This window comes from Homo sapiens, chromosome 1 (genome assembly GCF_000001405.40).
Source record: "Homo sapiens chromosome 1, GRCh38.p14 Primary Assembly".
In the NCBI taxonomy this organism is placed as follows: Eukaryota; Metazoa; Chordata; class Mammalia; order Primates; family Hominidae; genus Homo; species Homo sapiens.
Window position 1 is genome coordinate 192821122 of NC_000001.11, and position 13361 is coordinate 192834482.

At 39.4% G+C, this 13361-nt stretch overlaps 1 long non-coding RNA gene across 1 annotated transcript in view, besides 1 other annotated feature; it reads left to right on the forward strand.

Moving 5' to 3' along the window:
* Positions 5461-6660: an enhancer, noted in NCBI's record as "BRD4-independent group 4 enhancer chr1:192795712-192796911 (GRCh37/hg19 assembly coordinates)". NCBI's record gives its function as "activates an origin of replication core promoter dependent on BRD2, P300/CBP, MED14 and CDK7 cofactors, and independent of BRD4, by STARR-seq in HCT116 cells {active_cell/tissue: HCT116}" and the evidence as "EXISTENCE:reporter gene assay evidence [ECO:0000049][PMID:35650434]".
* LOC105371668 (uncharacterized) overlaps positions 10727-13361 on the forward strand; it is a 32219-nt gene continuing 29584 nt past the window's right edge. Inside the window, exon 1 of the long non-coding RNA XR_922387.3 lies at positions 10727-10930. This is a non-coding gene — a long non-coding RNA (uncharacterized LOC105371668). The remainder of the gene's footprint in view (positions 10931-13361) is intronic.

A 13361-nucleotide genomic window follows, 5' to 3' on the forward strand; every position in this document is an offset into this window, starting at 1 on the left:
CTAGGGAACTAAGCAGCGCAGTAGCATCACCCAGAATATCTGTATCAGCTGTTAACCGCAGCAACAAACAATGGCAAGCTTTTGGTCTCCACTCATGATGCTATGTTTGTATTAAAAGGTTACTGTGCACTGTATTTTATTTTTCTAGGTGAGAAGAAACATCAGAAGCAGTTGAAGGACCAGGAAGTGGGTCCTCTAGGGATGAGGAGGCACTCTGCGGGATGGCTTTTTAAAATGTTTCCTCCAGAGTCATCTGCTTCACTAACAACAGTTTTTATCTTAGACATCTCTCTTTGCTTTTGTAAACTGACGTGATTTGTTTTTTCTGTCACAAATGCATGCTGCTCTAGTCCTTCAATAAGCCCATCACACATGTTCACCATGTCATCTCTGGGCACTTTTCTGCAGTGTTAACAGCATCATCATTGTTGTGCACACGCATTGTGACAGCAACCCATCACATGAGGCCAGGTGTAGAATTTTTTACTTGTGGCATCATATCAGCACTCATAAGGTTTTGGATTTAGGAGTATTTTTTATTTCAGATTTTCAGATTATGGATCCTCACCCTAGATCACTATCAACCTTATAAACAGTTTTAAGAAATGTAAGAAATATTGCATAAGTTGTACTTAATCACTATGCTGGGCAGTTAGTAGACATCCAAATTTGTCTACTTAAAAATCTCATCAGAACATTTAATTTCTCCATCTAGGAAAACCTGTTCAGCACCACAAATAACGTACACAATCAACTCCAAACCTACTAGCAGGCTCTTCTCATTTTGGCTCTCAACTTCCTTTTCTAGCTTTCTTTCATAGTTTCTTAACGATCCTCCTCACCCTCCACTAACGCACTCTGGCCTGCCACCAAGCAGACATCTCACTATTCCTTGACAGCAACAGCTTCCCAGGCAGCTCCATACCTTTAGCCCTTTGCATGTGCTGTTTTCTTGCCTGAAATGCCCTTTTCTTCTCTGATTGATACTTTTGTTTTTCAAATCCTTGATAAAATTTGACTTCTGCAAAATTTCACAGATGAACCCTAGAGAATGAATACTTTCTTCTTCTGGTTGCCTGCATTGTTTTGTTCATACTTCCATGATAGCATTTTTATTGAAATAACATCTATCTCAAAACATTAGTGTTTTCTGTATTTACTTGTAGAGACATTTCCCTTGTCAATCAAATTGTTCCAGAGGAGGAAAAGGAACTCTATATCTTGGTCAGTGCCCACTTCGTTTGTTTGTTTGGTTGTTTTTTTTTGAGATGGAGTCTCACTCTGTCCCCCAGGTTGGAGTGCAGTGGCACGATCTCGGCTCACTGCAAGCTCTGCCTCCCGGGTTCATGCTATTCTCCTGCCTCAGCCTCCCGAGTAGCTGGGACTACAGGTGCCCGCTACCACGCCCGCCTAAGTTTTTGTATTTTTAGTATAGACGGCGTTTCACCGTGTTAGCCAGGATGGTCTCAATCTCCTGACCTCATGATCTGCCCGCCTCGGCCTCCCAAAGTGCTAGGATTACAGGCGTGAGCCACCGCACCCAGCCTGTTTGTTATTTTTTAACATTTAAAATATAGGCTCTAGGGAAGGAGTTCTGGACCTGTCCATAGACCTTTTAGTGGTCTCTGCCCTTGGATAAGAAAAAAATTACACATTCTTTTTTCTAACCCCTAATTAAATGTAGCATTTTCTTCCTTTGTGAGTCTAAGAAATAAGCCAGGCCAGGTGCAGTGGCTCACGCCTGTAATCCCAGCACTTTGGGAGGCCGAGGCGGGTGCATTACCTGAGGTCCAGAGTTCAAGACCAGCCTGACCAATATGGTGAAACCCCATCTCTAGTAAAACTCCAAAAAACAAAAAATAAAAAATAATTAGCCAGGCGTGGTAGTGCGCACCGGTAAACCCAGCTATTAGGGAGGCTGAGGCACAAGAATCCCTTGAACCCAGGCGGTGGAGGTTGCAGTGAGCCAAGATCACACCACTGCACTCCAGCCTGGGCAACAGAGCGAGACTCTATCTCAATGAAAGAAAGAAAGGAAGGAAGGAAGGAAGAAAAGAAAGGAGAAAAGAAAAGAAGGAAAGAGAGAGTGAGAGAAAGAAGCAGCAGTAGCAGTACATGTGACTACCACAAACAGAATTTTCAGATCTTTTCACATTACAATTGTTAAAGATTGTTATTTCCAACCTTCAATAGTAACTAGATCTGAAAATAAATCTTGTTTAAAGTGTTAATAAAGTACAAACAGTATATTGCTCTATCATAGTTTTTTAATTAAATGTTTTATTTTGAAATAATTGTAGATTCTCAGGCAGTTGCAAAAAAAAAAAAAAAAGATAGATCCTGCGTACTCGCTACTCACTTTTCCCAGGTGATAACATCTTGAAAAACTATAGTAAAATATCAGAACTAGGATCTTAATACTGATATGGTCAAGATATACAGAACATTTTCATCACCACAAGGATCCCATGTGTTGCACTTTTATAGCCTCACATACTTCCCTCCCATCCCATACCATCCTTAAACCCTGGCAACCACTAATCTCCTCTCCATTTCTACAATTTTGTCATTTCTCAGATGTTATTGATATGGAATCCTACAGTATGTAACATTTTGTGATGACCTTTCCACTCAGCACAACTCTCTGGAGATTCATTCAAGATGTTGCATGTATCAGTGGCTTGTTCCTTTTACTGCTGACTAGTATTCCATAGTGTGACTATACTACAGGTTGTTTAACCCATTGAAAAACATCTGGACTGCCTCAGTTTTGGCTATTACAAATTAAACTATTATAAACTTTCATGTACATGTTGCCGTGTCAACATAAGTTTCCACTTCTCTGGAATAACTGCCCGGGAGTACAATGGCTAGGTCATACACTAGTTGCATATTTAGTTTTATGAGAAAACCACCAAACTTTTTCAGAGTGGCTCTGTACCATTTTACATTCTCACCAGCAATGTATTTATGAGTGATCGAGGTTTTGCCCATCCTCAGAGCAGTTTGTGTTAATGGTGATATGTCTGTTCATATCTTTTGTCCATTTTCTAATTGGATTATTTATTTTACTGTTGAGACTTGAGTGTTTTTTATATTTTCTACATACAAGTCCTTCATCAGATATGTGGTTTGCATTTTCTGCCCAACCTATAGCTTGTTTCTTTATCCTTTTAACAGAGCAAAAGTTTTTAATTTCAGTGAACTCCAATTTATTAATTTTTCCTTGTATGAATCATGCTTCTAATGTCAAGCTTAAGAACTCTTTGTCTAGCCCTAGGTCCAAAATATTTTTGGATGTTTTCCTTTGTCTTTAGTTTTAGAAGTGTGATCATGAGGTGTCTTAATGTAGATTTCTGAGTTTATCCTTTTTGAGATTTACTTGCCTCCTTGAATATGTAGGTTTAGCTCTCTTGCCAACTTTGGAAGTTTTCAGCCATTAATTTTTTTGGTTCTTTTCCAGACCCACTCTCTTTTTCCTTTCCTTTCAGAAGTCTAGTGACAAAATTGTTAGGATTTTTTTTGCTGTAGTCTCAGAGGTCTCTGAGGCTTTGTATATTTTTTCAGTCTATTTTCTCTTTTTTTCAGATTGGGTAATTTCTACCTTATCTTCAATGTTACTAACTGCTTCCTCTGTTTCATCTATTCTGATGTTAGGTCCATTCATCAAGTATTTTTATGTAAGTTATTGTATTTTTCAGTTCCCATTTTCCCATTTGGTTGCTTATCTCTTCTACGTCTTTGTTGAGACTTCCTATTTCTTTGCTTACATTTTCTATTTTTTCATTTGTTTTAAGTATGTTTGTATTTGTTTATTAAAGTATTTTTATAATGGCTTCTTTGAAATCTTTGTCATATAATTCTAATATCTTTATCATGTCAGTGTTGGCATCTACTGATTGTCTTGTTTCATTCAACTTGATATTTTCTTTGTTCTTAATATGCCAAGTGATTTTCTATTAAAACTTGAAATTTTTGAGTATTTTATGATGAGACCTTGGATCATATTTAAACTTCTGTTTTAGCTGGCTTCATTTGATGCTACTTCAGCAGAAGGGGGATGCTGCCTTATTTTTTCAGGTGGGATATAAGTCCAGGTTTGTTTGGCCTTTATTGATACCCAATAGGAAGAGATTCTCCTTTTTACTTTTTGACAGGGGTGAGAATTTCAGCTTCCCAGCAGGTTGCCACTGATGGTCATGTGTCTTACAGCTTGACAAAGGTAGAAGATTATACTCCCCACTCAGCCTTTACTGGCTTAGGTGGAGGTGGACATTTATTGTTTAAAAGTATCTGTCTTGCTAGGCTTCCCCTTTCCTAGTTCTTTGGCTGAAGAAAAAAGACTTTTCTTCGGGGACTTTTTTTTCTGTTTTCCTGGGCTATTGTGGATTGCCAGTTTTTTGGCTCCAAGTCTGAGAAATATAAGGCAAAAAGACAGTCTAAGGAACTTACCACCATATCATTCATTGGGACCCAAAGTCTCCAACCAGTCCTTCTACCTCTCTACATTTTCTTGAGTTTTTAATATTTGTTTCATACATAATATGCAGGGTTTTTAGTTGAAATTAGTGGGAGAAATAAGGAAAGATATGTCTATTCCATCTTCCAAAAAGTAGAAGTCTTCTCTATTACCATTTTTAATAGTTTGATTACTATATTTCAGTATAACTGGTTTCCTTTGCAATCCCATAAATTTTGTTTATGCATTTACAAACAATTTTCTGAGAATCACCACATAGCCATCAAGGTCCATGGCATGGAACCACCATGAGCCATTTTAGAGAAAAATATTAAAAGCTTGAGACCAGAAAGAAGCAGCAAAGAATTATATTCCAAGATGAAGCAATGGGCACAACTCCCTTCTTTAGAGCACACGTTGGCTTTCTAACTTCCAGGTACCCTCTCTAACCCCCCGAGGGTCACATGGAGAAGAGTAACTAGAGCTAGATTGATGACTTGGAGAGGAGTAGGGAGCCATCTATTGTCTTATTGTCTTGCAAGGCTGTTGCCTTGGTGGCCCAAGCCTACAAACCATCCTCAAAACTCAGAGATCACCACCTGTCACCCCACTTGAGAAGTAAAGTTAACCATTCATCCATCACTTTGGGTATGGGCTTTCCATTCCCCAGGATAGCCCCTTCTTAATTTCCACTACATTGGAAATCCCCTTTCAATGGCCCAGAATATTCATAGGCATGCCTTCCACTCTGACAGGAGATACAGGTGTTTGTCATCCTGGTGGCAAGTGGTGAAGCAGCAGGGAAAACTCATACACCAGGACATGAGAGGGACTATTCACCCATTTTGCATTTAAATGTGTATCTACTCTTTCATTAGATGGTGAATTCCTCAGAGGAAATGAACTATGTTTCATTTTTTCCTTTTATTTTCAGTGTTTAGCAGAGTATAAAGCACATGGCAGATGCCTAATCAATGTTACTAAATGAACAAATAAGTCTATACTGCAGAAAAATGGTATATTTAGGATTTATCAAATACCTCATGTTTGCGTATTTCTATTTTAATTAAAAAAAGCATTCTTAGATTATTTAAAACAACTATTACTAGTTATTTCTTGGGCTGTAACATTTCTAGTATCTTCTTACTTATCTACTACTACTAATCTGAATTTGGACAACAAAATGTATGCACATTTTCTCTATTTCACAGACCATCTGGCACAGATGTCATGCATGTTGCTACCTCATAGATATGTTAATGAGTGACACAAAGTTTCCAGGTCCAGTCACAAAAATGCCATTTCCCTCCTCCACTTCCTTACCCACATTCAAAAGGCCAAGGTAAACACGTCCTGGGGCAACAGTCTGGAGAGTATAACCCTAGAAATAAAATGGATTCAGATAAATTCCAGAGTGATCTGCCAGTGACTAATGGTAATATCTTTAGTTAGCCAGAGTTCAAAAATACAAAAAGATAAAAATCTTGAGTGCAATCTCATAAATCTTTAACCCATGTAGCCCTACTCCATAGCAAAGTCTTCTTGAAAGCAAATAATGATTTAAAAAATTAACTTCTTATGTTAACTAGCTACCCAGATAAGTTCAAGAAATGGAATGAACATTATCCAGGAATTGAAAGGAAATGACTAAGAGTTAGGAAATGGTACCAGCATCAAGTATGACAACTTGTAAAGAAGGGTGACATTCCACACCTCCTATCTGGGTAGGGTTTACAGGACATCCTATGAACTGTCATAAAAGATAAATCTGGGTTTGTCTTACTAAAGCCAATGACAAAGACAGCTTGGCAGTGAAACTGACAGCTAATACTGTGAGTGAGGCCGCTGACGACAGTAATGAATGAATAACCTGTCCGGAACTCTTCATCAGTGAGATGAGAACCATGGAAGAGTTAATAGATCCAGTCAGGTTTCAGAGGGCACACCTTCTGCACAGCCCAGATAGATAAGAAAAGAGGATTTTTAAGGTAGATGATTTGATTTCTATGCTTAAATAAAAATAGATTTGTGGTTTGAATTACAATAAAACAAAAATGGAAGTAAACAAAGTTTTGATAAAATACAAAACACATTTTAGATATATTATAAGCACAGTGCATACAAAACACAGATATTTATAAAGTTAGTTGTCAATACAAGTCCATATTACTTGTTAAGAGGAAATTCTGTGGCACGTACAGTAAGTGCTGATATCAGGAATGCTTTGATAAAGAAGTTTGGGTATAGGCAGGTCACTCAACATACTTTTCTATAGAAGCTAGGCAGCATTATTTTAGATTTGAGGAGAAAGTATTGCTTTAAAAATTATGTATTAACTTCCAATAGAAAAATCAGTAATTAAGTCAAAGTGGAGTTAGGCATTTAAATAGGCATCAAGGCAAATTAGTATTGATAACTTCTTTTCAATTTTAAATAGAAAAATTATTTTAATTGGCTTTATAAATGTACTTATTTAAATACTGCAGCCAAGAATGCAGTTTTAAATGACCATCTGGCTAGCACTCCTTGAGGCAGTATCTCACGATGCTTCCTAAAGTTTCTGTGAATAATTTTTTTTAAAAAAGCAAAACAGCCACCCGAATCCAGCAGCACATCAAAAACCTATCCACCACAATCAAGTTGGCTTTATCCCTGGGTTGCAAGGCTGGTTCAACATACACAAATCAATAAATGTAATCCATCACATAAACAGAACCAATGACAAAAACCACATGATTATCTCAATAGATGCAGAAAAGGCCTTCGATAAAATTCAACACCACATCATGCTGAAAACTAGGTATTGATGGAATGTATCTCAAAATAATAAGAGCTATTTATGACAAATCCACAGCCAATATCTGAATGGGCAAAAACTGGAAGCATTCCCTTTGAAAACCAGCACAAGACAAGGATGCCCTCTCTCTCCACTCCTATTCAACATAGTATTGCAAGCTCCGGCCAGGTCACTCAGGAAAGAGAAAGAAATAAAGGGTTTTCAAATAGGAAGAAAGGAAGTCAAATTGTCTCTGTTTGCAGATGACATGATTGTATATTTAGAAAACCCCATTGTCTCAGCCCCAAATCTCTTTAAGCTGACAAGCAACTTCAGCAAAATCTCAGGATACAAAATCAGTGTGCAAAAATCACAAGCATTCCTATACACAAATAACAGACAAACAGAGAGCCAAATCATGAGTGAACTCCCATTCACAATTGCTACAAAGAGAATAAAATACCTAGGAATACAACTTACAAGGGATGTGAAGGACCTCTTCAAGGAGAACTACAAACCACTGCTCAAGGAAATAAGACAGGACACAAACAAATGGAAAAATATTCCATGCGCATGGATAGGAAGAATCAATATCATGAAAATGGCCATAATGCCCAAAGTAATGTATAGATTCAATGGTATCCCCATCATGCTACCATTGACTTTCTTCACAGAATTAAAAAAAACTACTTTAAATTTCATATGGAACCAAAAAAGAGCCCATATAGCCAAGACGATCCTAAGCAAAAAGAACAAAGCTGGAGGCATCATGCTACCTGACTTCAAACTACACTACAAGGCTATAGTAACCAAAAACAGCATGGTACTGGTACCAAAACAGATATATAGACCAATGGAACGGAACAGAGGCATCAGAAATAATGCCACACATCTACAACCATCTGATCTTTGACAAACCTGACCAAAACAAGCAATGGGGAAAGGATTCCCTATTTAATAAATAGTGTTGGGAAAACTGGTTAGCCATATGCAGAAAACTGAAACTGGATCCATTCCTTACACCTTATACAAAAATTAACTCAAGATTGATTAAAGACTTAAACGTAAGACCTAAAACCATAAAAACCCTAGAAGAAAACCTAGGCAACATCATTGAGGACATAGGCATGGGCAAAGACTTCATGACTAAAACACCAAAAGAAATGGCAACAATGGCCAAAATAGACAAATGGGATCTAATTAAACTAAAACCCTTCTGCACAGCAAAACAAACTATCATCAGAGTGAACAGGCAACGTATAGAATGGGAAAAAATTTTTGCAATCTACCCATCTGACAAAGGGCTAATATCCAGAATCCACAAGGAACTTAAACAAATTTACAAGAAAAAAACAAACAACCCCATCAAAAAGTGGGCAAAGGATATGAACAGACACTTCTCAAAACAAGACATTTATGTGGCCAACAACCATATGGAAAAAAGCTCATCATCATTGGTCATTAGAGAAATGCAAATCAAAACCACAGTGAGATACCATCTCATGCCAGTTAGAATGGCGATCATTAAAGAGTCAGGAAACAACAGATGCTGGAGAGGATGTGAAGAAATAGAAATGCTTTTACACTGTTGCTGGGAGTGTAAATTCGTTCAACCATTGTGGAAGACAGTGTGGCAATTCCTCAAGGATCTAGAACCAGAAATACCATTTGACCCAGCAATCCCATTACTGGGTATATACCCAAAGGATTTTAAATCATTCTACTATAAAGAAACATGCACATGTATGTTTATTTCAGTACTGTTCACAATAGCAAAGACTTGGAACCAATCCAAATGCCCATCAATAATAGACTGGAAAATGAAAATGTGGCACATATACCCCATGGAATACTATGTGGCCATAAAAAAGGATGAGTTCATGTCCTTTTCAGGGACATGGATGAAACTGGAAACCATCATTCTCAGCAAACTAACACAGGAACAGAAAACCAAACACCACGTGTTCTCACTCATAAGTGGGAGTTGAACAATGAGAATACATGGACACAGGGAGGGGAACATCACACGCTGGGCCTGTTGGGCAGTGGGGAGCTAGGGGAGGGATAGCATTAGGAGAAATACCTAATGTAGATGACAGGTTGATGGGTGCAGCAAACCACCATGGCATGTGTATACCTATGTAACAAACCTGCACGTTCTACACATGTATCCCAGAACTTAAAGTATAATAATAATAATAATAATAATAATGCAAAACACTAAAACCTATGATTGACAGGCAATTTATTACAAGCTTCTGAGAGGAAATTCTGCTATTCTAATGCCCCATGCAGCTGATTTAGGAATCACAGTCTTTTGATGATACATGGTTTATAACCTGAAAAAGAAGAAAACTGCCTGCAGAGAAGTAGAGATTTTCTTTGTGCCTGCCTTTCAGCACGGAAACCAGCGTACTGTTTTCTGAGGTTGCTAGGATACTATTCCCCAGTACTCCCCTCAGTTACCTCTCTCTACAGACACAGGCAGAGACTGCAACCCTTCTCACCCACACTCTTCCTTCTTCATGAAAAATCGAGAAAGAAGAAAAGGAAAGAAAGAGGAAGGAAGGAAGGGAGGGAGGGAAGGAGGGAGGGAGGGAGGGAGGGAGGAAGGGAGGGAGGGACGGAAGGAAGAAAATAATGCACTTGAGGAGCCTGGTAGAGAAGTACTGAGTCCTGGAAGGTAGAGCACATTGGAGGAGAGGGTAAAGGAGGTGGGCCGAGTCCTCACAGCAGGGCTTGGGGAGAATTAACTGCACTTCATGCATTCCACTGCTTCAGAGAGACAGAGGACTATGTAATAAGAATAGACATGGCCCTCCATACAGCAAGCCTGATTGGTATATATCTGAGAAGTAGCCTATATGAAAAACACGTAGGAGTTCAAGTTAGCATAAATTGACAGCTTTTTGTCATCCTCCAAAATCTGATGCAGTATCAGGCTGTGTTAACAGAGACTGGGTATTTAGGATTCAGGAAGTGATAGGCTCACTCTGCTGTGGACCTGTCATGGCTGAAGCATCTCTACAGTTCTGGATACCAGGCTGTGAAAAGATGTGGTCCTTGGGGTTCTTCCCAAAGCCCTCTTCTTTTCTCAGTCTGCCACTCCGCAGGACCATCTCATCCCTGTTGCCACATATCGTTATGAAGGGAGTTTCCTGTATGGAGACACCTGGTCAAGGGGGGAGGGGAGTTATTCACCACTGGAGTCCTAATGCAAGAGCAGGGCCAATCTTAGGGGAAAAAGGGATGTAGGGCAATTTCAAATTATTTGGTCCAGAGGGAGAGTCCTTTTCTAAACATTACAATTAATGTGCTTGCCAGCAGGCAGCCCTGCACCTCACCCACCCCCATGGTGCCAATTACCATTTATGTATTGATGTCCCCCTTGAGACCACACCTACAACCAACTGGACAGGAGAAGGTCGGCAGGAAGCTTCTGGGAAAGTTCTACCTTAATTGTAAAAGAACGACAGGAGATGTCTTTCTCTTTCTGCTAGATGTGAATAAGACAGTGAGTAATCCTGGTTGCTACAACCAGCCTCCTTGTTACCACAAGGAAAACCGACTTACAGATGACGCTGATGCTATGGGTCATGGAGCAGAGGTGAAAAGAACCTTTTTTCTTGATAACATCATTTAGCTGCTGAATCAACCAACCCTGAAGACCACCCTACATCTGAATCTCCTTTAATGTGAGCTAACAAATTTTTTAATTAGTCAAGCCAATTTAAGTTGAATTTTCAGTAACTTGACATCAAAAAACATCCTAACCAAAACATCATGTATTCTCTACCAGGAATCTGATTATGCAACGGCTTTGCACTGAACAATCCACATTTACTAAACAGGCCACTAAAGAGTCAGATTCATCATTTAGTCTTATTAGAAAGGTGTCCTAACTATGGACATAAGACCAGCAGGGTTCTTGTGTCCTAAATACAGACATAAGACCAGTAGGGTTCTTTTGTCCAGTTCAACTTATATATGGTGAATATAGTATAGTGCTAAAGAAGGGGTGTTAGAATCCCAGCTTTACCATTCACTAGCTATGTGACCCCAAGAAAGTGACTTAGGTTCTCTGGGCCTCATTTTCTTCCCCCGTCAATGGAGATCATCATAGTGCTTACCTCAGAGGGTCATTTTCAGGATCACATTAAATGATACACATGGATTAGTTAGGATGTATTTCAGCTATGAGTAGCAAACAAAATAAGTCATCAATATGATTTAAACAAGAGAGAAATTTCCTTTACTTTCACATTCAAGGATCCAAAGATCTTCATTCCAAGACAGGCATGGCCCTTCATATCAGGACCTACCTTACTGACTCATTCCAAAGATTCTCTCTTAGTACACAATGGTTCCTAGAGCTCCAGTTTTTCAGTCCCCATTCCAGGCAGGGGGGCAGAAGCAGAAAAGAAAGGCAAGTTTCTACTCTTTAAGAACATTCCCTGGAAGTCACATACACCACTTCTGCAGCTGTGACCAGATAAAAAATCAAGGGATTAAAAAAAAAAAAGGGCAACCTGCTCAGGTCCCCTTCCACACTGTGGAGGCTTTGTTTTTTCACTCTGCAATAAATCTTGCTGCTGTTCAAAAAAAAAAAAAAAAAATCAAGGGATTTGTTATGGAAGAAGGGGAGAAGGCATCCAACTTCTGCAGCAATCTGTGAAGTATGAGCACCTTGACGTGGAACAAAGCCAGCAGCGTTATCTGGCAGTTATTCTTACAAAAAACCTCCAATTCTCTTCCCCACAACAACAGGTCCTCTCCCCACCACCCAAACTCCCGCCCTCAGCCTCCCTTCCGTCAAAATCCCACCCTGTCTTGCAGGCCCGTGAGGGTCCATTTAAACTAACAGCTATTGCGATGTCACACTGTCCAGGCACAAAACACACAAAAATAAAATTATTTCTACTCTCAAGAATCTCACTGGAAAGTAAGAGACTGCCAAATTACTGCGTGTGAGGCTGTGCCTGGCTCATAAGAAATGCTCAGTGAGGGCCAGGCACAGCGGCTCACACCTGTAATCCCAGCACTTTGGGAGGCCGAGGCGGTCAGATCACAAGGTCAGGAGTTCAAGGCCAGCCTGGACAATATGGTGAAACTTTATCTCTACTAAAAATACAAAAATTAGCCATGGTGGTGCACATCTGTAATCCCAGCTACTCGGAAGGCTGAGGCAGGAGAATCGTTTGAACCTGGGAGGTGGAGGTTGCAGTGAGCCGAGATCGTACCACTGCACTCCAGCCTGGGTGACAGAGCAAGACTCCGTCTCAAAAAAAAAAAAAAAAAAAAAAAAGAAAAGAAAAAGAAATGCTCAATGAGTCTTTGCAATTATTAAATTATTCTTCTTCTGGTTAAGGACCTAGACTATAGGCTAGGAGGACCTGAGCTTAAACTCTTGCTCCATCACTTACTTGCTGTGTGACCTTGGGCTAACAACTAAACCCTTCTGTGCAGTAGCCCTATTTCCATGTCTTTGACAACTGTATTCAGCTCTCATTTAATGTATTATAAAAGAACACTACATCTTCGGATTCTTTTCTAAACTTGATTATTTCAGTCACAAGTCTTGTAGATCACAGCACTCTAAGAAGCTATTGTTTGGCCGGGCTCGGTGGCTCACACCCGTAATCTCAGCACTTTGGGAGGCTGAGGTAGGTGGATCACCTGAGGTCAGGAGTTCAAGACCAGCCTGGCTAACATGGCAAAACCCTGTCTCTACTAAAAATACAAACATTAGCTGGGCTTGGTGGTGTGCATCTGTAGTCCTAGCTACTTATGAGGCTGAGGCAGGAGAATCGCTTGAACCTGGAAGGCAGAGGATGCAGTGAGCCGAGATTGCACCACTGCATTCCAGCCTGGGTGACAGAGTGAGACTCCACCTCAAAAAAAAAAAAAAAAACTAAAAAAGTTATTGTCTGGAGTGTGACTTCTAAATGTCATTATGTAAAAAAATGTTGCTCAGACCTGCTTTTAACTAGTAATACTAAGAACATGTCTTGTCAAGTAGTTGAGGTGCTAATACACAGAAGGATACTGTAATAAAAGAACACACAGTCTAGAAAATAGTTAAAACATGTTTGTCCAAATTATCTTCCAAGGAGAGAAAAGTCAGCT